Source organism: Homo sapiens, chromosome 3, assembly GCF_000001405.40.
Source record: "Homo sapiens chromosome 3, GRCh38.p14 Primary Assembly".
NCBI lineage: Eukaryota > Metazoa > Chordata > Mammalia > Primates > Hominidae > Homo > Homo sapiens.
In genome coordinates this window covers 793,083-819,098 of record NC_000003.12, presented here as the reverse complement: position 1 = coordinate 819,098, position 26,016 = coordinate 793,083, and the positions used below count along the sequence as shown (strand labels likewise).

General features: G+C 37.9%; 1 long non-coding RNA gene across 1 annotated transcript in view, besides 1 other annotated feature; it reads right to left on the bottom strand.

The window, feature by feature from the left end:
• LINC01266 (long intergenic non-protein coding RNA 1266) overlaps positions 1-26,016 on the bottom strand; it is a 253,911-nt gene that overhangs the window by 26,917 nt on the left and 200,978 nt on the right. The window lies entirely within an intron of this gene.
• Positions 13,400-13,937: an enhancer, noted in NCBI's record as "NANOG hESC enhancer chr3:846845-847382 (GRCh37/hg19 assembly coordinates)". NCBI's record gives its function as "activates a minimal SCP1, AML or CMV promoter by ChIP-STARR-seq in naive H9 embryonic stem cells {active_cell/tissue: H9 hESC(naive)}" and the evidence as "EXISTENCE:reporter gene assay evidence [ECO:0000049][PMID:30033119]".

The following is a 26,016-nucleotide window of genomic DNA, read 5'->3' as shown; positions in this document are numbered from 1 at the left end:
TAATTTTCTGTCTCATTGATCTGTCTAATATTGCCAATGGGGTGTTAAAGTCTCCCATTATTATTGTGTGGGATTCTAAGCCTCTTTGTAGGTCTCTAAGAAGTTGCTTTATGAATCTGTGTGCTCCAGTATTTGGTGCATACATATTTAGTATGGTTAGCTCTTCTTGCTGCATTGGTCCCTTTACCAATATGTAATGCCCTTCTTTTTCTCTTTTGATCTTTGTTGGTTTAAAGTCTGTTTTACCAGAGACTAAGAATACAACCGTAGCTTTTTTTTTGCTTTCCATTCGTTTGGTAAATCTTTTTCTATCCCTGTATTTTGAGCCTATGTGTGTCTTTGCATATGAGCTGGATCTCCTTAATACAGCACACTGATGGGTCTTGACTCTTTATCCAGTTTGCCGGTCTATGTCTTTTAATTGGGACATTTAAGCCATTTACATTTAAGGTTAATATTGTTATTTGGGAATTTGAACCTGTCATTATGACACTAGCTGGTTATTTTACATGTTAATTGATGCAGTTTTTTCATAATGTCGACGGTCTTTATAATTTGGTATGTTTTCGCAGTGACTGGTACCAGTTGTTCCTTTGCATGTTTAGTGCTTCCTCCAGGAGCTCTGGTAAGGCAGGCCTGGTGGTGACAAAATCTTTCAGCATTTGCTTGTTTGTAAAGGATTTTATTTCTCCCTCACTTATGAAGCTTAGTTTGGCTGGATATGAAATTCTGGGTTGAAAATCTTTTCTTTAACAATGTTGAATATTGGCACCCACTCTCTTCTGGCTTGTAAGTTTTCTGCTGAGAGATCTCCTGTTAGTCTGAGGGGCTTTCCTTTGTGGGTAACCCGACCTTTCTCTCTGGCTGCCCTTAATAATTTTTCCTTCATTTCAATCTTGGTGAATCTGACAATTATGTGTCTTGGGGTTGCTCTTCTTGAGGAGTATCTTTGTGGTGTTCTCTGTATTTTCTGAATTTGAATGTTGGCCTGCCTTGCTAGGTTGGTGAAGTTCTCCTGGATAATATCCTTAAGAGTGTTTTCCAATTTGATTCCATTCTCCCCGTCACTTTCAGGTACAACAATTAAATGTGGATTTAGTTTTTTTCCACATAGTCCCATATTTCTTGGAGGCTTTGTTCATTCCTTTTTATTCTTTTTTCTTTAATATTGTCTTCTCACTTTATTTCATTAAGTTGATCTTCAATGTCTGAGATGCTTTCTTCTGCTTGATTGATTCAGCTATTGATACTTGTTTATGCATCAGGATGTTTTAATGCTGTGTTTCAGCTCGATCAGGTCATTTATGTTCTTCTCTAAACTGGTTATTCTAGTTAGCAATTTGTCTAACCTTTTTTCCAGGTTCTTAGCTTCCTTGCATTGGGTTAAACATGCTCCTTTAGCTCGGAGGAGTTTGTTATCACCCACCTTCTGAAACCTACTTCTGTCAATTTGTCAAACTCATTCTCCATCCAGTTTTGTTCCCTTGCTGGCCAGAAGTTGTGATCCTTTGGAGGAGATGAGGTGTTCTGGCTTTTGGAATTTTCAGCCTTTTTGCACTGGTTTCTCACTATCTTAGTGGATTTATCTACCTTTGGTCTTTGATGTTGGTGACTTTCAGATGGGGTCTCTGAGTGGACGTCCTTTTTGTTGATATTGATGCTATCCCTGTTTGTCAGTTTTCCTTCTAACAGGCCCCTCTGCTACAGATCTGCTGGAGTTTGCTGGAGGTCCACTCCAGACCCTGTTTCCTGAGAATCACCAGTGGAGGCTGCAGAACAGCAAAGATTGCTGCCTGTTCCTTCCTCTGGAAGCTTCGTCCCAGAGGGGCACCTGCCAGATGCTAGCCAGAGCTCTCCTGTATGAGGTGTATGTCAGCCCCTACTGCGAGGTGTCTCCCAGTCAGGATACATAGGGGTCAGGGACTCACTTGATGGGGAAGTCTTACCCTTAGCAGAGCTGAAACTCTGTGCTGGGAGATCTGCTGCTCTCTTCAGAGCTGTCAGGCAGGAATGTTTAAGTCTGCTGAAGCTGCGCCCACAGCTGCCCCTTCCCCTAGGTGCATTGTCCCTGGGATATGGAGGTTTTATCTATAAGCAGCTGGGGCTGCTGCCTTTATTTCAGACATGCCCTGCCCAGAGAGGAGGGATCTGGAGAGGCAGTCTGGCCACCATGGCCTTGCTGAGCTGCGGTGGGCTCTGCCCAGCTTGAACTTCCCTGCAGCTTTGTTCACTCTGTAAGGGTAAAACCACTTACTCAAGTCTCAGCATTGGCAGAGGCCCCTCCCCACACCAAGCTTGAGCATCCCAGGTCAACCTCAAACTGCTGTGCTGGCAGCGAGAACTTCCAGCCAGTGCATCCAAGCTTGCTGGCCTCCATGGGGGTGGGATCCCCCGAGCCAGACCACTTGGCTCCCTGGCTTCAGCCCCCTTTCCAGGGGAGTGAACGATTCTGTCTCACTGGTGTTCCAGGCGCCACTGGGGTATTGAAAAAAAACTCCTGAAGCTAGTTTGGTATCTGCCCAAACAACCACCCAGTTTTGTGCTTGAAATCCAGGGCTCTGGTGGCTTAGGCACCAGAAGGAATCTCCTGATCTGTGGGTTGTGTAGACCATGGGAAAAGTGCAGTACCTGGGCCAGAGCACACCATTCCTCATGGTGCAGTGCCTCACTGCTTTCCTTGGGTCGGGGAGATAATTCCCCCAACCCTTGTGCTTCCTGGGTGAGGTGATGCCCCATCCTGCTTTGGCTTGCCCTCCACGGGCTGTACCCACTCTCCAACCAGTCCCAATGAGATGAACTGCTTACCTCAGTTGGAAATGCAGGAATCACCCACCTTCTGCGTCGATCTCGCTGGGAGCTGCAGACTGGAACTTTTCCTATTTGGCCATCTTGTCAGCAAATCCCCACATAAATATCTCTCAATGGACAAATGGTTAAACAAACTTTGGCCTATCCATATAATGGAATGATAGCAATAAAAAGTGAAAGGCTCAACCTACTAAATAAGCAACAATATGGATAAATCTCAAATACATTAAGTTAGTGAAACAATACGTACTTAAAAGGCTATATCCTTTATGATTCCGTTTACATGAGTTTCTAGGAGTCAAGTTGAAGGACAAGAAATAAGTCAGTGGTTGCCACTGGCTAGGACTGAGGGAGATGAATGCCTACAAAGAGGCAGAAGGTTACATTTTCAGGTGATGAAAATGTTCTATATATTGATTTTATTTGTAGTCACATGACTATATACGTTAGTAAAACTCATAGAATTATACATCAAAAAGAGTAAATTTTATTTTATGTAAATTCTACCAAAACAACCTGTGTTTCAAAATGAAAGATGGCTGAGAGTTGAATTGTTGAGGAGTTTGGAAGACAGGCAAACCTGATTTGACTTGTATTTTGGAAGTATTGAGAGCCACTTGAGGATTCTGAGGAGTAATTAAATGAGCAGGGTTGTGCTGAGCAATGATCGCTCTGTTAGAAACATGCAGGATGAATCATTCTATAGACAGATATATGATTAGAGGTAACATGTGCTATAATTTTCCTGTGACTGCTGTAGCTAAGGAATATCTTGACTAGGAAACTTGTCTACTTTTTTGTTCTGAAAGATAAGAAAACATAACAAGGGGCCTATGTATCTATCTACACATCCATCTTAGTTTATGCTACTTGTAATTTATTTATTTATTTATTTTTATTATACTTTAAGTTTTAGGGTACATGTGCACATTGTGCAGGTTAGTTACATATGTATACATGTGCCATGCTGGTGCGCTGCACCCACTAACTCGTCATCTAGCATTAGGTATATCTCCCGATGCTATCCCTCCCCACTCCCCCCACCCCACAACAGTCCCCAGAGTGTGATATTCCCCTTCCTGTGTCCATGTGTTGTCATTGTTCAATTCCCACCTATGAGTGAGAATATGCGGTGTTTGGTTTTTTGTTCTTAAGATAGTTTACTGAGAATGATGATTTCCAATTTCATCCATTTCCCTACAAAGGACATGAACTCATCATTTTTGATGACTGCATAGTATTCCATGGTGTATATGTGCCACATTTTCTTAATCCAGTCTATCATTGTTGGACATTTGGGTTGGTTCCAAGTCTTTGCTATTGTGAATAATGCCGCAATAAACATACGTGTGCATGTGTCTTTATAGCAGCATGATTTATAGTCCTTTGGGTATACACACAGTAATGGGATGGCTGGGTCAAATGGTATTTCCAGTTCTAGATCCCTGAGGAATCGCCACACTGACTTCCACAATGGTTGAACTAGTTTACAGTCCCACCAACAGTGTAAAAGTGTTCCTATTTCTCCACATCCTCTCCAGCACCTGTTGTTTCCTGACTTTTTAATGATTGCCATTCTAACTGGTGTGAGATGGTATCTCATTGTGGTTTTGATGTGCATTTCTCTGATGGCCAGTGATGATGAGCATTTTTTCATGTGTTTTTTGGCTGCATAAATGTCTTCTTTTGAGAAGTGTCTGTTCATGTCCTTCGCCCACTTTTTGATGGGGTTGTTTGTTTTTTTTCTTGTAAATTTGTTTGAGTTCATTGTAGATTCTGGATATTAGCCCTTTGTCAGATGAGTAGGTTGCGAAAATTTTCTCCCATTTTGTAGGTTGCCTGTTCACTCTGATGGTAGTTTCTTTTGCTGTGCAGAAGCTCTTCAGTTTAATTAGATCCCATTTGTCAATTTTGTCTTTTGTTGCCATTGCTTTTGGTGTTCTGGACATGAAGTCCTTGCCCATGCCTATGTCCTGAATGGTAATGCCTACGTTTTTTTCTAGGGTTTTTATGGTTTTAGGTCTAACATTTAAGTCTTTAATCCATGTTGAATTGATTTTTGTATAAGATGTAAGGAAGGGATCCAGTTTCAGCTTTCTACATATGGCTAGCCAGTTTTCCCAGCACCATTTATTAAATAGGGAGTTCTTTCCCCATTGCTTGTTTTTCTCAGGTTTGTCAAAGATCAGATAGTTGTAGATATGCGGCGTTATTTCTGAGGGCTCTGTTCTGTTCCATTGATCTATATCTCTGTTTTGGTACCAGTACCATGCTGTTTTGGTTACTGTAGCCTTGTAGTATAGTTTGAAGTCAGGTAGTGTGATGCCTCCAGCTTTGTTCTTTTGGCTTAGGATTGACTTGGCGATGCGGGCTCTTTTTTGGTTCCATATGAACTTTAAAGTAGTTTTTTCCAATTCTGTGAAGAAAGTCATCGGTAGCTTGATGGGGATGGCATTGAATCTGTAAATTACCTTGGGCAGTATGGCCATTTTCATGATATTGATTCTTCCTACCCATGAGCATGGAATGTTCTTCCATTTGTTTGTATCCTCTTTTATTTCCTCGAGAAGTGGTTTGTAGTTCTCCTTGAAGAGGTCCTTCACATCCCTTGTAAGTTGGATTCCTAGGTATTTTATTCTCTTTGAAGCAATTGTGAATGGGAGTTCACTCATGATTTGGCTCTCTGTTTGTCTGTTGTTGGTGTATAAGAATGCTTGTGATTTTTGTACATTGATTTTGTATCCTGAGACTTCGCTGAAGTTGCTTATCAGCTTAAGGAGATTTTGGGCTGAGACAATGGGGTTTTCTAGATATACAATCATGTCGTCTGCAAACAGGGACAATTTGACTTCCTCTTTTCCTAATTGAATACCCTTTATTTCCTTCTCCTGCCTAATTGCCCTGGCCAGAACTTCCAACACTATGTTGAATAGGAGTGGTGAGAGAGGGCATCCCTGTCTTGTGCCAGTTTTCAAAGGGAATGCTTCCAGTTTTTGCCCATTCAGTATGATATTGGCTGTGGGTTTGTCATAGATAGCTCTTATTATTTTGAAATACGTCCCATCAATACCTAATTTATTGAGAGTTTTTAGCATGAAGGGTTGTTGAATTTTGTCAAAGGCTTTTTCTGCATCTATTGAGATACTCACGTGGTTTTTGTCTTTGGCTCTGTTTATATGCTGCATTACATTTATTGATTTGCGTATATTGAACCAGCCTTGCATCCCAGGGATGAAGCCCACTTGTTCATGGTGGATAAGCTTTTTGATGTGCTGCTGGATTCGTTTTGCCAGTATTTTATTGAGGATTTTTGCATCAATGTTCATCAAGGATATTGGTCTAAAATTCTCTTTTTTGGTTGTGTCTCTGCCCGGCTTTGGTATCAGAATGATGCTGGCCTCATAAAATGAGTTAGGGAGGATTCCCTCTTTTTCTATTGATTGGAATAGTTTCAGAAGGAATGGTACCAGTTCCTCCTTGTACCTCTGGTAGAATTCGGCTGTGAATCCATCTGGTCCTGGAGTCTTTTTGGTTGGTAAGCTATTGATTATTGCCACAATTTCAGCTCCTGTTATTGGTCTATTCAGAGATTCAACTTCTTCCTGGTTTAGTCTTGGGAGAGTGTGTGTGTCCAGGAATTTATCCATTTCTTCTAGATTTTCTAGTTTATTTGCGTAGAGGTGTTTGTAGTATTCCCTGATGGTAGTTTGTATTTCTGTGGGATCCGTGGTGATATCCCCTTTATCATTTTTTATTGCATCTATTTGATTCTTCTCTCTTTTTTCTTTATTAGTCTTGCTAGTGGTCTATCAATTTTGTTGATCCTTTCAAAAAACCAGCTCCTGGATTCATTAATTTTTTGAAGGGTTTTTTGTGTCTCTATTTCCTTCAGTTCTGCTCTGATTTTAGTTATTTCTTGCCTTCTGCTAGCTTTTGAATGTGTTTGCTCTTGCTTTTCTAGTTCTTTTAATTGTGATGTTAGGGTGTCAATTTTGGATCTTTCCTGCTTTCTCTTGTGGGCATTTAGTGCTATAAATTTCCCTCTACACATTGCTTTGAATGCGTCCCAGAGATTCTGGTATGTTGTGTCTTTGTTCTCGTTGGTTTGAAAGAACATCTTTATTTCTGCCTTCATTTCGTTATGTACCCAGTAGTCATTCAGGAGCAGGTTGTTCAGTTTCCATGTAGTTGAGCAGTTTTGAGTGAGATTCTTAATCCTGAGTTCTAGTTTGATTGCACTGTGGTCTGAGAGATAGTTTGTTATAATTTCTGTTCTTTTACATTTGCTGAGGAGAGCTTTACTTCCCAGTATGTGGTCAATTTTGGAATAGGTGTGGTGTGGTGCTGAAAAAAATGTATATTCTGTTGATTTGGGGTGGAGAGTTCTGCAGATGTCTATTAGGTCCGCTTGGTGCAGAGCTGAGTTCAATTCCTGGGTATCCTTGTTGACTTTCTGTCTCGTTGATCTGTCTAATGTTGACAGTGGGGTGTTAAAGTCTCCCATTATTAATGTGTGGGAGTCTAAGTCTCTTTGTAGGTCACTCAGGACTTGCTTTATGAATCTTAGTGCTCCTGTATTGGGTGCATATATATTTAGGATAGTTAGCTCTTCTTGTTGAATTGATCCCTTTACCATTATGTAATGGCCTTGTCTCTTTTGATCTTTGTTGGTTTAAAGTCTGTTTTATCAGAGACGTGGATTGCAACCCCTGCCTTTTTTTGTTTTCCACTGGCTTGGTAGATCTTCCTCCATCCTTTTATTTTGAGCCTATATGTGTCTCTGCATGTGAGATGGGTTTCCTGAATACAGCACACTGATGCGTCTTGACTCTTTATCCAATTTGCCAGTCTGTGTCTTTTAATTGGAGCATTTAGTCCATTTACATTTAAAGTTAATATTGTTATGTGTGAATTTGATCCTGTCATTATGATGTTAGCTGGTGATTTTGCTCATTAGTTGATGCAGTTTCTTCCTAGTCTCGATGGTCTTTACATTTTGGCATGATTTTGCAGCGGCTGGTACTGATTATTCCTTTCCATGTTTAGTGCTTCCTTCAGGAGCTCTTGTAAGGCAGGCCTGGTGGTGACAAAATCTCTCAGCATTTGCTTGTCTGTAAAGTATTTTATTTCTCCTTCACTTATGAAGCTTAGTTTGGCTGGATATGAAATTCTGGGTTGAAAATTCTTTTCTTTAAGAATGTTGAATATTGGTCCCCACTCTCTTCTGGCTTGTAGGGTTTCTGCCAAGAGATCCGCTGTTAGTCTGATGGGCTTCCCTTTGAGGGTAACCCGACCTTTCTCTCTGGCTGCCCTTAACATTTTTTCCTTCATTTCAACTTTGGTGAATCTGACAATTATGTGTCTTGGAGTTGCTCTTCTCGAGGAGTATCTTTGTGGTGTTGTCTGTATTTCCTGAATCTGAACATTGGGCTGCCTTGCTAGACTGGGGAAGTTCTCCTGGATAATATCCTGCAGAGTGTTTTCCAACTTGGTTCCTTTCTCCCCATCACTTTCAGGTACATCAATCAGATGTAGATTTGGTCTTTTCACATAGTCCCATATTTCTTGGAGGCTTTGCTCATTTCTTTTTATTCTTTTTTCTCTAGACTTCCCTTCTCGCTTCATTTCATTCATTTCATCTTCCATCGCTGATACCCTTTCTTCCAGTTGATCGCATTGGCTCCTGAGGCTTCTGCATTCTTCACGTAGTTCTCGAGCCTTGGTTTTCAGCTCCATCAGCTCCTTTAAGCACTTCTCTGTATTGGTTATTCTAGTTATACATTCTTCTAAATTTTTTTCAAAGTTTTCAACTTCTTTGCCTTTGGTTTGAATGTCCTCCCGTAGCTCAGAGTAATTTGATCGTCTGAAGCCTTCTTCTCTCAGCTCGTCAAAGTCATTCTCCATCCAGCTTTGTTCCGTTGCTGGTGAGGAACTGCGTTCCTTTGGAGGAGGAGAGGCGCTCTGCATCTTAGAGTTTCCAGTTTTTGTTCTGTTTTTTCCCCATCTTTGTGGTTTTATCTACTTTTGGTCTTTGATGATGGTGATGTACAGATGGGTTTTTGGTGTGGATGTCCTTTCTGTTTGTTAGTTTTCCTTCTAACAGAGAGGACCCTCAGCTGCAGGTCTGTTGGAGTACCCTGCCGTGTGAGGTGTCAGTGTGTCCCTGCTGGGGGGTGCCTCCCAGTTAGGCTGCTCGGGGGTCAGGGGTCAGGGACCCACTTGAGAAGGCCGTCTGCCTGTTCTCAGATCTCCAGCTGCATGCTGGGAGAGCCACTGTTCTCTTCAAAGCTGTCACACAGGGACATTTAAGTCTGCAGAGGTTACTGCTGTCTTTTTGTTTGTCTGTGCCCTGTCCCCAGAGGTGGAGCCTACAGAGGCAGGCAGGCAGGCCTCCTTGAGCTGTGGTGGGCTCCACCCAGTTCGAGCTTACAGGCTGCTTTGTTTACCTAATCAAGCCTGGGCAATGGCAGGCGCCCCTCCCCCGGCCTCGCTGCCGCCTTGCAGTTTGATCTCAGACTGCTGTGCTAGCAATCAGCGAGACTCCGTGGGCGTAGGACCCTCCGAGCCAGGTGCGGGATATAATCTCGTGGTGCGTCGTTTTTTAAGCCCGTTGGAAAAGCACAGTATTCGGGTGGGAGTGACCCGATTTTCCAGGCGCTGTCCGTCACCCCTTTCTTTGACTCCGAAAGGGAACTCCCTGACCCCTTGCGCTTCCCAGGTGAGGCAATGCCTTGCCCTGCTTCGGCTCACGCACGGTGTGCGCACCCACTGACCTGCGCCCACTGTCTGGCACTCCCTAGTGAGATGAACCCGGTACCTCAGATGGAAATGCAGAAATCACCCGTCTTCTGTGTCGCTCACGCTGGGAGCTGTAGACCGGAGCTGTTCCTATTCGGCCATCTTGGCTCCTCCCCTGAATGGCTTGCTACTTGTAATTTAGCAAACAAGGAAGAAGTATTGTTTTATTTTTATTGCTTATCATTACTCCATAAAATTTAAAATTTAATACTGAAGTATATCATTATTATTATAACTACACCCCTAAGAGTACAACCATTCAATAGATATTTTGAGGACTCAGGTCTTGGTGGGAGGTACCATGGGTTATTGGAGAAACTACTACATTGGAGAAAAATGACAGGTGGTCTTCCCAAGGCCTTGGGCAGCTCTGCAGCTCTGCCTCCATGGCTTTATTTGGTGAAGCCCATGTGGCTGCTGTAACGGGTTGGAGTTGAATGCCTGTGACTTTTCCAGGCTCAAGGTATATTCTGGGATCTGAAAGGTGGTGGCCCCATTTTCACAAATCCACTAGGCATTGCCCGGGTGGTGACTCTGTGTGGGGGCTGCAACCCCACATTTCCCCTTGGCACTATCCTAGTATAGGCTCTCTGCAAGGGCTCCACCCCTGTAGCAGGCTTCTGCCTAGGTACCCAGCCTTTCCAATACATCCTCTGAAATATAAGTGGAAGTTACTAAGCCTTCACTCTCGTGCTCTGTGCACTTACAGGATTAACACCATGTAGAAGCTGCCAATGCTTACAGTGGCTTGAACTCTCCATAATGGGAGCTTAGGTATACCCAGGCCCTTTCAGCTTTGGTTGGGGCTGAAGCAGCCAGGATATAGGGCACACTCTCCTGAGGTGGTGCAGAGCAGTGGTCTCCCAGGCATTGTCCCCAGAAGCATTCTTTCTTCCTAGGCCTCTAGGCCTGTGATGGCAGGGACTCTCCTGAAGATTTCTGAAATGTCTTCAAGGTCTTTTTTCCATTGTCTTGGCTATCAGCACTTGGTTCCATTTTAGTCATGCAAGTCTCTCTAGCAATTGGTTATTTCTCAGCTGCTTCTGCTTTTCTCCTGAAAACTGTCTTTCTTTGTCTACCTCATGGCCAGATTATGAATTTTCCAAATTTGTACACTCTGCTTTGCTTTTTATTATAATTTTTAACCTTAAGTAATACATCTGTTCCAACATCTTGTTGTAGTTTGTTAGAAACAGCCACACAGCCCCTTGAATGCTTTCTGCTTAGAAATTTCTTCTGTCAGATATCCTAAGTCAACACTCTTAAGTTAAACATCCCATAAATCCCTACAGCATGGACACAATGCAGCCAAGCTCTTTGCTAGGATGTAACAAGGGTGAATTTTGCTCCAGTTTTCAAAAAATTCTCATTTTCATCTGATACCTCATCAGCCTGGCCTTTACTGTTTATATTTCTACCAGCATTTTGGTTACAACTACTTAACAAGTCTCTAAAAAGTTCCAAATTCTCTCTTGTCTTCTTTCGAGACCTTCAAACTCTTCCAACCTCTGACTGTTACCCAGTAACAAAGATGCTTCCACATTTTCAGGTATCTTTATACAAGAGCCCACTCTTAGTACCAATTTTCTGTATTAGTTTATTTTGCATTGCTATGAAGGAATACTTGAGGCTGGGTAATTTATTTTTTAAAAAGAGGGGGTTATTTGGCTCACAGTTCTGCAGGCTATACAAGTGGGGCACCAGCATCTGCTCAGCTTCTGGTGAGACCTCAAGCAGCTTTTACTCATGGCAGGAGGCAAAGAGGGAGCAGGCATGTCACATGACAAGAAAGGGAATGAGTGAGAGGAAGAGGTGCAACACTCTTTTAACCCATTTCTCATTTAGAAAAAAAAAGTGCAGCTCACTGCCAGTACTCATTTAATTTTACACAAACATGCTCTTTGAGGTAGGAGCAAATCTAATTGATTTTCAATGTGAAAATAAAATCTAAAAACTGTTCTTGGAGTTATTTGTAAACAGAACTTGTCTCTAATCTTAATGTAATAGAAATGTATATGACGATCAGTATTTAATAATGTTTATCTGTTAGTAAATTTCAAATTTTGAAGCATGGAACAACACAGAAAATGTCGAATTCTATGTTGTATAGAATTTGACATTTTCAGCAATTGAGAATTACTATATTTTGTAAATAGAAATACCACTACTAAAAACAGAATGCTATAAATAGAATGATGTATTTTGTTTCCCAAGTTGATATATTAGAGCAATGTGAAAATAATAATAAAATTGAGATATTCCCTGGCAAACTTTGGGGGTAAGGTTAGAACTGTAACCCACGAGTTATCTCAGGGTAAACTCTGCAGCCACAAGCACCACCAGCGAATATTCTTGGGGAGAATGGGTTAAACAGCAACTCTCAGGTAAACTAATAGAAGGAGAATTCACTCATTACCAAAAAGATGGCACAAGGCTATTCATGAGTGATCCACCTCCTGATCCGAACATCTCCCATCAGGCTCCACGTCCAACACTGGGGACTATATTTCAACATGAGCTGATTTAAAAGGGACAGATATCTAAACCCTATCAAATATTATCTGTATTTAATAAATATTTCATTACCACTGAGGAATAATCATTGTGTGTGTCAAAGTTATGAACCAGAGGTACACTAAGGCATAATGATAGATCCTTGTTCAAGGATCATGAAAAGTGTCTACTATCAGATTTTAAGTCACTGTTTACTCCCCTTCAGCTCATCCTTCAGAAATATTTTGAGAGGTAACATTTTTGGGGGTCAAGTCCAGAATTGCTTATAGTAGGTCCTCTGGCAACTACTGTTTATTTATTCTAGAATGCTTTAAAAAGAGAACGAAATAACATGATATCTCTTCTACTCTCATGAAAGCCATTTAAGCTTTTATTTATATCTTCCTAAGAGAGGAAAACAAGGCTATTGTTACAGGTGCCTGTGTGCATACACACGCATGTACATTTGTTTTTTCATATCCTCAAATAAATATTTCATGTTGAATTACTTGGTTTTGCCACTTGGATGTCTCAAATTTGTTGCATAATCTTTAGTCTGTTTTTCTAGGCAATCTTAAATAAGACTGTATAAAGCCTGATTGATTACAATGCTGAGCTTATATGATGAGCTTAACAAATACACGTTCAATTGAATAAATCCTGATGCACATAGCCTTATTGATGGAATAGATTTAAACTATGTAGTTCATTAGGACAATGGCATGAGTAATCCCAATAGTATAGGGATTATCAAACTATGTTTACATCAGGCCAAATTCAAATCTTGCTTGTTTTTAATAAATAAAGTTTTATTGGAACACAGCTAAACAGACACGCCATTCACTTACATGTTATTTGTGGCTGCTTTTGCCCTATAATGACAGAGATTAATAGTTGTAGCAGGGATTGTATAGTTCCCAAAGCTGAAAATATTTACTATCAGGTCCTTTACAGGAAAAGTTTGCTGTGCTCTGCTTCAATATATTTGTTTTTTATATAACTTATTATAGTAAAACTGTAACCTTGGTCTTTACCTATATAAGCTTAATTCTTAAAATATCGAAATATAAGAAGTAAGATTCAAATGATGGTCTAAATTACACAAATCTTGATAAATATATAATAGTATGCATTGTTTTCATATTTTGTTTTCTGCCATCACATTAAATTTTAAAATATACCTTAAATAAGTAAGATACATATTGAAAATAAGGAAGTATAAGGAAGCAATCAACATGAAGAAAGCAGAAAATTCTATATGCTTCATTTTTTTTAACTTAACATTTGATTATAATTTAGAGCTCAGGCCTTAAACTCATTAAAGTGTTACAAACATGATTACCTAGGGGATGGTACTGACTTTTTTTTTTTTTAAATTTAAGCATGTGTGTGTTGTGGCTAAGCATTAAAATAATGTTTTAGTATTTAGGACATATGTAGCAATAGAATGAGCTCCATATGTTAAGTGATTTTTCTGTGGCTGAAGATATTCAAGCCCAGCTGGATGCAAAGAGACTATTACGGAGGAGAAATCAGCACAGTATGGAGGGTTCCTAAGATTCCTTTTGGTTCAGAGTCTGCAACTTGATGAGAGTTGGGTGAAATAAATAGGACTGAAGAGCCTCCTCTTAAAGAAAGTGTGAGAGTGTGTCTGTGTGTATGCAAATCTCATTACATCCTTAAGATTTTCTTTTTAATCTCACAGGTATTTATTTACCAAATCATTTTTCTCTGCTAATATAGTTGCTGTGGGAAGTACAAATTGTTATAGATTCTTCCCTTAAGGAGCTTACATTTGGTTTCAAGAATTGGAAAGAAAGATTATTTTACATTAGCTGGTATGTTCAGGAAAATAAAATACAAAGCATAAGAATTTGAATGGTTATTTGAAAAGCTAGGATTTACATAGAGAAAACATACAGAAACAAAAACAAGGATAGTACATTTTCACAAGAAAATAATTCAACTACTCTGATTGAGATCAAAAGAAATGCAAGTCAATCATATAAGATACCTGGAAGTCTATCATTTTAAAAAATTACTATTAATATTTTGGCATATGACCTTGTGGTCTTTCATTATATCTGTATAGTTCTATAAAATGTAGACATATTGAATATAAAATTATGAAACTTGCTTTTTGCATTTAGCAAAATAATTAAATATTTTCTTTTATCATTAGATATTCTTTTTAGTTGCATACTATATATTATAGAGTTGAATCATAATTTACTCAGTTAATCTCCAGTGTTTTGAAATTCCTATCAAGGTTGTTAAAAGGAAGCATGATATAAATAAATTTGCATTGTCCATAGAAGAATTGAATATTTGAATTTAGACTGTCCTAGACAAATTTTGACATAGGACAAGTGGCACTGTTAGTTTTGAGCAGTTGATTTGCTTTACAATTTTATTTGTTGTGAAGGAGATTAAGGCAAAGAATTAAGAGGGAGAACAATGGATATATTGACTTTGGCTTGTTTTACATTTGAATACCAAGTGTAGCATATTATGGTAGATGTTATCTTAAAAGTATCATTTATCTTAATAAGCTCCTTTGTTATAAGGCTGACAGGACATAGTTGTTTTTTTACTGATGTCTGGTACGAGAGATTCAAGATCCCATTATCATTCACACTCGCTTGGATTGTGTGAATACAGAGGGAATTGCTCACTTTTACATATTCTTTTGGTATTAATACTGTTTCTGTCTGAAGAGAAGGAAGATGCATTGTATGCTTGTCCCTTTGTCCAAACTTTTCTCCTAAGTCCCATCACAAGCCTATAAGCTTTGTATTCTTTTTTTATACTTTTCTGAGATTTCATATCCTGTGTACTAGGAAAATAGTATCTTTCGGAGAAGTATTCTATCTATATTTTGTAGAACAAAATAAAACAGAAAATGTATTTTTCCAAAGCTGTTTTAAAAATATATATTCATAACTTAATGGAGAACTGATACAAATAAAAAATAGTTTAAGATAATGTGTTTTAAAAGATTTTGGTTGTCTTCAAAAGAGGAAAATTCAGAGTTAAAAAAACTACATATATTTTATTGAGTCTCTGTAGCACTTTCATGTTCTTTAATCTCTTTTTCTTTCTTCTATATCACTTGGTTTTTGAAAACTTAATTCTCTGTGCTGTACTTTGGGCAGTAAAAAGTATATCCAGAATGAGAAAACTTCTTAAATTGTGCTTTTTATTAGAGCAAAGATCTTTGAACGGAACAGGAGAGAAACAAACCTTATAAGATTGATAGGCGAAGAAAAAGAGAAAGAGAAGTTGAAGAAACTGAACCGCTAATGATGAGCATTTGTTTGTTCCCAAGCTACAAAGCTTTCTACAAAGCTGAGCGCAAACGCCTCATCCTCTTGTTCTAGGTCAAAGAGTCTCATCCTAATCCTACCATCGGATATTAGCATTTATAGTTTACTACCAATAAATGGGGAACCAATATTAAATTAGAAGTTAAATTTCTGATCAATTTTCCTGTATTCCAAAAGATGTTTTTGGCACATGGCTTTCCTTGGTAAATTAATAACATGTAATTCTAATTTGCTTTCTGGTATGATATACGTGATGATTTGATTTAAAGTCAGATTAAAAAGTAGTATGTTGGCAGTTATTAAATAGCTAGATAAATCTCACAGGGTAGATCTGCCAACCTGATGTTGACTAAGAATCACTGTGCATATGTTTGGTGAACTATATTGATTTAGTTTTGATGCTTGTCCCCTACAGATCTTATGTTGAAATATGATCCCCAGTGTTGGAGGTAGGGCCTAATGAGAGGTGTTTGGGTCATGAGGTCAGATTCTCATGAATTGCTTGTGCCCTTCCTACAGTAATGAGTGAGCTCGGGTTCACGTGAGAGCTGGTTGTTTAAAGAGCCTGGCCTGCCTTCTCTCTTCCTCTCTTTCTCCCCATGTGACATGTCTGCTCCCTGTTTACCTTCTGTCATGAATAAAAGCTTCCTGAGGCTTCACCAGAAGCTGAGCAGAGGCTGGTGCTATGCTTGCACTGCCTGTAGAACTGTCAGCCAAATAAACCTCTTTTCTTTATAAATTACCTAGTCTCATGCATTCCTTTATAGCAAAGGAAAATGGACTGATCATATATCATTTAGGGTAGTCATGGTCAAATCTTGCTGTATTCTAGGTGTAACATTTTGGAGCCCATGTAGGTTTCATTTGAATTATGCTACTTATAATAAACCAGTGACAGGCAGTATGACATTTTTAGTAAATTATTCTATCTGTTAACAGTTTGTGATTTCTTTCCTGTTTCTTTTCTAGGCACACTAGATGGATCTTAAAAGCAGATTCAATGGATCTGCAATGCTCTGCTCTAGGCACTGTGCTCTGTATGTGGCTATGCAAAACCAGGAATGATTCCTTCTTATTTACCTGCCTTATGTCACCTACAATTCCAAACTGTTGTCTTTAATTGCTTGATTACTAGAACCCAGTTGGTTAGTTCAGGCTAGACAGTTAGGACCTCTGATTCAATAAGATGATTTATTAAACATAGTGTTCATGAAAACAGATCTGATTTCTTATTAAGCACATAAATCACAATTACCAGGCTGGTACTAGAGGGGATATGCTAGCTTTGTGATTTCTGGATTTGGATTCAGATTTTAAATGTACCTCTGCTGATTAATAGCTATGTTAAGTCATTAGCCTCTCCAACACTTGGTGTCTCTTCTATAAAATGAAGATAATAATATCTAATGTATACAGTTGTTCTTAGGAGTAAATAAGATAATGCCATGAACCATTAATCTACAGTAACTCAATGTATGGTAGATTTTCAGCATCCTTTCTTGAAACTTCCTCAATTCCAGGGGTCTTATCACACTGATTTAGCAACCTCACTGGATGATGTCATTTAGGCTGGGGGTCACGAGGCTAATTTCCCAAAATGAACACCAAGTAAATTGAAAAGACAAATTTTTATCCACTTCAGGTTCTGCTCACCTTTTAATCCTTAGTTTCTTTTAAATACACTTGGATTTTATTTATTTCTGGCCTCACAGATGTTATCTTAGGTGGGACTTCAAAAACTTTTTAAAACATAAAATTAAATTTGGAAATAGCTACAAATAGCACTTTGACAGAGCTTATTTCTTTTTTTCTCATTAAAAATGTATGAATACATATGGAGAGTGTTTCTTTTTCCTTAATCTTTTTCTGGTGTTAAATATCTTCAGTAAACAAGAAGAATATATATGATTTTCATCTATCACTTCTAAGTATCTGTGAAATTGCAGGATATGACACTCACACTTAAGTCATAGTTGGGATTTTCACATAAAGATATAAAGCTACATATATTATTATTACTAATAAGTTGTAAGTTGAAATAAATTGGATCCTGTGAATAATGGTCCTATGTGCCAAAATATATTTAAAAGTAAGTAGATCAAGAAAAGAGTTTCTCTCCACATGCTTGTTGATTTGCCTTCTCTTACAGGATATTAAAACAAATTTTAAAACATATTCTCGTCTAATAGTCATATTCCATATTGTGATCAGCTAATTAAACTACCTATGTTTTAGTAAGCATGGAGGCCAAGTCTGCACTAACAAAATGTAGTGTTATTAAAATCTAAATCTTAGATAAATTATGTTTATGTAAAAACAATTTCAGATTATTTAAAAATGTGCTTCTTAATGCAATGAAAAAATAAAACTAATTCTATTGATACTTTTTAGAAAAGTTAGCAGATTATAAGTGGTGATAAACTAACATAAGATAAATAAATAATAATCTATAGTACACCATAATCCTTATCAATAAATTGATAATAAAGTGTCACATCCTAGCTAAGCATAGGTTAGAAATTATTTGTTCTTCCCTAGAGAACAGAACCATAACAGAAGCAAATGAAGGTCATTTTACATCAAAATGATCAATTTGGCTTCTCTGCCATCAGTCGAATTTGGGATGCTTAAACACCATTATTGATGTGTTCAACCAAGAGTTGCAGCTTAGACAGGGGCCTATGTCAACTTAACCATGATTTTGCAACATTTGGCTAAATTTAGCATAATGTGAAAACTCTTGAATATTAGCACTATATCTCTGGATTCTTGATTCCAAGCTCTTTTTAAGGATAATTATTTTGTGATGAAGAATAGGAAGATTCCTTTGGTACAACCTGGCTAACAATTGCAACAATTGCATTAGAAAATTAGTTGTATACCCTATGCTTCCTTTACCAGCAATGACAATACCGTAAATATTGGCTACTTGTCCTCACTACCATGGCAACTACCCATTGTGGCTACCATTCTTGATTGCAGTTTTTCCTATGAAGGAGAAAAGGCTAGTAGATGTGAACTGCGATGCTTTGAATAATACTCAGACTCCTTATAAGTCTTGGCATGATCTGACTCTTAAGTCTCTTTCCAACTTCATCTTATACTACTTTTCCTCTTCTTCACTATCTGTGCCAGTGTTTTCTGAGGTTCTTAGACAAATTAACTAGTTCTTTTCTTGGGATTTTGCACATGACACTGAAGGGGAAGAAGCCAAGCAAGGGTATGATTTCAGGCCAAGCCCTATTAAATGTAGCTTCATTCTGATCTCATCAGATCCTGGGACTTTATACTTCCACAACATACAGCCACTGATTGAAGTCCTCAAGGTGAGAGACTGATGTAAACTCCCAAGCACTTCTGGTTGCCCATGACTATGGGAAGTGTCCCAGTTGCCCTAGGAGAGTGTGCCAAATATGACTTTGAGGTACAGCTGATTGAGATCAATGACACACTGAAACAGGAGAAAAGACACTCAGAAATGAGAAATGAGCATAAGGGGTTCTGCACAGTATACAGAACCTGTGGCATCCATCTATCCATCCATCCAACCATCCATCCATCCATCCAAAGTGTTTATCTTTAATAATAATCTTTTACAAAAGTTTGCCCTTTCAGTTATACTCTGCTTAAAAGTGTTATGCATCATTGAATTGCCCAAACAGAATTGGCAATTGGCTACAACATTGAATGTGTGAAATAGAAGAAGATAAAGAATTTAAACACAGAGGGGGAATCAAAGCATTCTCAACTGCAGTAACAATGACAGCAAGAGTGATATAAAGAACAGTAAAAGCACCCTCCTTAAAAATCAAGGGTAAAATAAAGGAGAGCTGAAGGGGGTCAATGAAAGACTAGTCTGTCAAACTGACTCCCAGCTCAGAAGACCTTTTTCTCTGCTAGAAGGAACACTCCTTAATCATCCTGATAGTCCTGTGAGCAAGAGAGATATGCTAATTGGATACCTGGCCTAGTTTTCTAAGACTGAGCAACACTACATTTCATAAGCTCTTTTCACAAAGTCAATATAAGCAAGGAGAAAAACAACACTTAACTGTTACATATTTCAGGCAAGAACTTCTTGGAATATAAAAGAGAATTGGTAAGGTATACCAAAAAGAGTAAGAAGGCAGGGTTACTGTTTTTCCTTTCCTGTCACAAAATACCACAGGCTGATACACAGGGACTGACTAAGGTAATTCTGGGACTTGGCTAGGGTTCTAATATTTTCTTTTTGAGCTCTACCACCCCCCTCCCATTCAGAACCAGGGTGTTATCTAAGTTCCATAGTCTCTCATTTTTATTTTATACTTTTTGCTAGAGCTCTGGTTTCAGTAATTGCATAGGTAATTGTTCTGCATTCCACTTTCTTTTGGAGGTGGCACACTAATCTCCTCCTGGGGAGTAACTTCACTCCCATTGTGAGCAATATGGTGGACTGTCAGTCAAGGTGATGTACCTCTCTTAGCCAAGGAGTGAATATGTCATTCAAATTAGAACAATCCATCCCGTTCCCCAGCCCCTTCTAGTTTCTGAGTCAAGTGGAAGAATTCAAGAACAGAAAAAACAAGAGTTGGAGTTGATATAGTCTAGTGTCAATGCTGAGGTTAGGCTGACTCCTACGACCTGGATGATTGGATTAGCCGTTGTTTCTACCCTAACCAAGCCTGGCATCTCAGCCATTTCTTTGGTTCTATGAACTACACTATAAAATTAAAGTTAATGGATATAAATAGCAGATGTAGTTAGTGGTTTAATTAGACCATATCCTGTCTGCTAAGATTCAAGCTAAACCTGAGTATCAACACTTTTTAATATTTGATGTAATTAAATCTTAAATGGGTTTAATTCAAGTTTTAGACCCAGAATGTGTGACACTATAAGGAAGTTTTGTGAGGGCATTACTCTATACCCGGACTTTTGTGGAACACCTGTTACATAGCAGATGATTAATAAATAGCACATTTCATAATAGTAACTTATGAAGAGAAATAAAGATCACATGAATTATCTTGATCAAGTGATTTCATGCTCTGAACATTTGTTTCCTGAGCAATGAGATAAAAAGGCTGAATTTCAAGGTGCAAATTTCTATGCCATGTTAAAATTTCCTCCTTTAACCCCATTGTAGCCAATAATTATTATGCACTATGTACTTGGCCCTAATCTTAATTATTTATATGTATTGTTTGATTTAATCCTGTGAAAAAGACATTAGAATCCATTAGAAATTCATTTGGCCACATCTGGGTGGAGTGAGTCACCCTGTAAACCCAGCACCTGGGAGGCCAAAGGAGGATGATGGCTTGAGGCCAGGAGTTCAAGATCAGCCTGGGCAACAGAGCCAGACATTGTCTGTACAAAAACAAAATAAAAAAAATTAAAAATTGGCCAGACATGGTGAAAAGTACCTGTAGTCCCAGCTACTTAGGAGGGTTAGGTGGTAGGATTGCTTAAGCTCAGGAGTTGGAGGCTGCAGTAAGCAATCATATGTCATTGCACTCCAGCTTAGGCAATAGAGCAAAATCCTGTCAAAAAAAAAAAAAAGAGAGAGAGAGAAAGCAATTAATTAGGCCACAAATGGCAGAAGGCCACTTCTACTGGCTTAGACCCATTATTTTTTCTTATGTCACACAAAATTTAAAGGTTAAGCAGCTGACATCTTGTTTATATCAAAGTTAGAACTTTTGCAATTCTCTTGTCCTTTCCACTACACCTACCTCCACATGCTCACAATATTGCAGACCTGGCTTTTTGCACTGCGTCCTTATTTGAAGCAAGTAAAACAGAGATAGGTAGGACAGTCTAAACCATATCTTCTTTTTTTGTTGTTCATATCAAGAAAGAGTAAGCTTTCTCAAAAACCCACAGCCAACTTCCACTTACACCTTGTTGGTTGGAACTGTTACATGGCAACCCTTAGCTTTAAGGCAGCCAGAAAGATGTAGTATACATTTAGCTGATCATATTTCCAGACCTCAAATTGGGGTTCTGTTGGCAATGAAAAAGGGATGAATAGATGTTTGGAAGACAACTGACATTTTCAACTGCAGTACTTTTTAAATTTTTATTTTATAGTTGAAGAATGAAGGTCTCAAAATGGGAATATCAGTGTCACACAACTAACAAATGCTGAAGAGAGGCATTTAAAGATGAGCAGTCTAATAAAGAATACATACTTTTAACAAGGGTAGGGTCAACACAACAGAACCACAAAGGGGCAGGCAAGTCTATTTAGAATGTTCAGCTTTAGTAATTGAGTGTGCAGAAACCAATTGGATCAATGGGGCCAGATTTTTTTAGAGATGATTTATAAATCTGGGTTAATTATGGTAACAGCTATTTTTAAAAAATCATCTTAATGTGGGTAGTGAGTGTTAAATCAGTTTTCATTCAGGTAAATTGCAGTAAATCTTTCAGGTCCCTATTTTGTAAGATTACTAGTCACATCCCTACACATGTCATAAGCTTTTGGAGATAGAGTGTGGTGAGCTATTTTGAGAAGCCAAAAGTTAGGCTTGAAGCAATGGCATATTTTTATGTGAACCTGTGTTAGTTAAAAAGTTTCAGTGAGCCTCAGTTTATTCATGTGGGAACGCAAATGGATAAATCATTTCACAGAATAGATAAAAAGCATAAAAATTTCTGTCAAATTACACAACACATTGTAGACAATGAAATATTATTTAAAAAAATTATTTGTGGATACTTCTGAATTTCTTATCATCAAAAAAATATATATATACATTATTGCAAGTGTTTTCAATGCAAAAAGTAGATTAAAAAATCTGTAATCTCACCATAAAGCAATAAAGGCCATTATTATTTTTTCATATAATTCCATCCTTTTTTTTCTATTTCAATATTTACTGGAGTAATAGATGGCCCTGATAACTAATCAAAACTGTACAGAAAAACTCACTATTAAAAAGCTACAGTTTATTGCCTCCCTCTTCTTCAACTTGTGTTCCACTGTTTAGAATGAAAAACCCTAAAAATCTTAAGTAATATAATTATACAACTATTTCTTGATCTGTCAATTGTACAAAATTTCTACTTTCTTCCCAGTGTGCACAATAAGGATTTGATTTGCTCATACTACTTTTAAAAATTTTCTTCTCCAATACTACTATATATATAAAAATAGACATTATACATTATATTATATATAATAATACATATAAATATATTGTAATGAATTATAATTTGGTTAAAATTTTAACATTAAAATACTTCAACTGCAATTTTAATTATTTACATTATGACTATTAACACAGTATTTTCTCTTGGCATGATCTTTCCTTCTCCTCTCTCTTCCATGTAAATACACTATCTTATGTCAGTCACACTTCAACTTTTATATTGTTGAGGTATTGCATATTAACTGTTACTTTATATTCCAACTGCAAGCAGACTTAACACACACTGTCCTTGGGTTAATGCTAAAGTCTGTTTTACTTTTTAAAATTATATAAGTATTTTTTGTTGTCCAAGAAAGTATTATAGGTAGATTGCATTTAATTGTCTCTGATCCAATTTCTGCACTCTTGTGTCACACACAGGAGAATTTTCTTAGCATCACATTAAAATAAATCATCTTTCATAATTGCCTGAAACCATCATGCAGGTTACATTGCTTCAAAATTGGACCATGACTTTTTGTGAAATGTTACATTTTTCCAAGAATTTATAACTGTTTTTTTCTTTCTTTCCTCTTTTTTTTAGTCATGATTTGCCTTATGTATTTGTGTTTTCCTAAATGTTTGATCTTACTAGCCATTCTGTAGTTTCACGTTTTCTGTAAACCTCTTTCATGAAGAATCGCTTCCTCTTGTTTTAATCCACATGGTTGTGATTTAGGTCACAAGTTCAGCTGCCATTTCAGTGCTTCTCATCATAACTCTGATGGTTGGATCCACTGTTTCCTGACCTTGTGTGTTCCCCTTTTCTTGAAATACTCTTTGATTTTTCCAGAGCGTATCCTGATGTAATTTCTTTCTTTCTTTATTTATTTTTAGAGATGTAGTCTTGCTTTATCTCCCAGGCTGGAGTGCTGTGACCATTCACAGATGTGATCATAGCTCACTGCCACCTGGAACTCCTGGGCTCAAGCAATCTTCCTGCCTCAGCCTCCTGAGTAGCTGGGATTACAGGAGTGTGCTACCAAGCCAAGCTCTGAAGTAACTTTTAAAGAATGGTTTTGTTAAAACAAAGGCCCAATGTTATTCTACGTATTGCACATTTTTTAAGATTTACATTTGATTTGTAGTCTGACTATTATAGAATTCTAAGTTGAGAATAATTTTCCTTCAAAAAGTTGCAGTTCTAAAACTTCATAAAGATATGATTAAGGATGATTGACTTTTTAAAAAATGTATGTTTCTGGGCCTTTAAAGCCCTTTGAATCTAAATTTTAATACCTGTTTTCAGCTCTAGGAAATTTTCTTTCATAATTTATTTGACAGTTGGCTTTTTTTTGATATATGATTCTTATTACTCAGGGACCTCCTTTGTCAGTCCTTTACATCTTATATTTTTATTTGTATTTTTATCTTTTCCCCATTCTTTAAAAATTTATCCCTTAGTATTTTAAACTGGGACAGTTTTGTTGCTATCTGATTTTTTTTTTACATACCAAACTTTTTCTATTTTAGGAATGCAATACTTTCTCAAATTTTTAATTATAGACTGGATTTTACTAAGTTCTCACTTGTGTGCAGAGTTATTTGTTTTCTTTTAGAGTAGACTTATATCTGAGTTTCTTGATACTGCTAGATCTTTTCATAAGCACAGCTTAACTGTAAGAAATAAGAATGTTAGGTACTTTCTTTGTTGCTTTAATCAGTAGTACAGTTTCTATTTGATTTTCTTTACTAAGTTGGACATTTGACCAGGCTGTGTACATGGTGTTTTATGAGGTCTGACCTGGACCTGTTAGCTAACCAGCTATTACACTTTCCACCAAATGGCAGAATGACTATATCCTAGTGCATTTTGTACTGCTGTAACAAAAATAACAGAGTGGGTAATTTATAAAGAACATAAATTTGTTTCTCACAGCTCTGGAGGCTGGCAAGTCCAAGATCAAGGCACCTGCATCTGGTGTCCAATGAGGGCTTTTTGCTGCATCCTCACGTGGAAGAAGGTGCAAGAACAAACAGAGATTAACATTGTATCCTCATGTGGCAGAAAGTGGAAGAGAAAGAATCCACTCCTGAAAGTTATTTTTTAGTGGTATTGCCATTATAAAAATAAAAATAATAATCCATTCATTAACACGGAGCCCTATGACCTAGACATTACCCATTAGGTCTCACCTCCCAACACTGCTGTATTGAAGATTAAATTTCACCATGAGATTTGGAGGGGATAAAAACATCCAAATTGTAGCAGACCATGATCTTACTGTTAGAACCAACACCCACACTCGGAACTTAACTTTCCTCAAACTGTTTATTGCTTTGCAGAAGAACCCAATTTGGAGTTTCCCTTGAGGATAACAAATGCCTATAGTCTAAGAGTGGGTATAGGATTGCTACTTGGCTTAGTTCTATATGATTACTATTTGGGGCCTGTTTGCCCAGTGCCCTCTAATTGGCTTACTGTCTTTGACTCCATAGCCTTCAGAGACCCATTAAACAAACTCATTCCAAAATCCTTCCAAGCTCCCATATTCTGGGATATGTAACTTTCTTTCTTTTTTTGGAGACAGGTTCTCACTCTGATATCCAGGCTGGAGTGCAGTGGTGTGATCTCAGCTCACTGCAACCTCTGCCTCCTAGGTTCAAGCAATTCTTATGCCTCAGCCTCCTGAATAGCTGGGAATACAGTTGTGCACTCCCGAACCCAGCTAATTTTTTTGTATTTTTAGTAGACATGGGGTTTAACTATGTTGGCCAGGCTGGTCTCCAACTCCTGGCCTCAAGTGATCCACCCGCCTCAGCCTCCCAAAGTGCTGGGATTACAGTCATGACCACCAAGACCAACCTTGAGATGTGTAGCTTTCTTCACACTTGTTTATCCATTTACCTATTCCCATCTAGTTTTTAGTTCCCATTCAGTCATAATTATTCTCTAATTTTCATTGTTAGTATAGAATAATTTTATATTACTTTGAAACATACAAAATACTCAGTGTTGAACTATATTTTACTAACAAAAATGGTGATTTTAAATGGCTCAACCATTTAAAGCTTACTTTCTGTAAACTATGCTTTCTCCTCCCTTTTATTTTAGCCGACCCAAAGAGAAGATGGGAAGCAATGATTATGCAAAATTATACATTTGAATTGGAAGCTTATATTATTTTTAATGGAAATATGCAAAGGGATGTAAATTTTGAGCCCTGCTGGAATATGGACTTGACAGAGCCACTTCCTTCCACCTAGCAAGGCTGAAAGTGGTCATATGGTAAGGAAGAGTACTTTTTCTACTCGGTATTTTTTTTTTCACCTAAGACCCTGAATATTTTGCAGGTCTTACTTAAAATGACACTGGGAAACTTTGGCCTTGGAATCCTTCTTTATCAAAACAACACAAAAAGAAACCCCAAGTGCAACACACAATAGCTTTGTACTTCAAGTAAATGAATTTT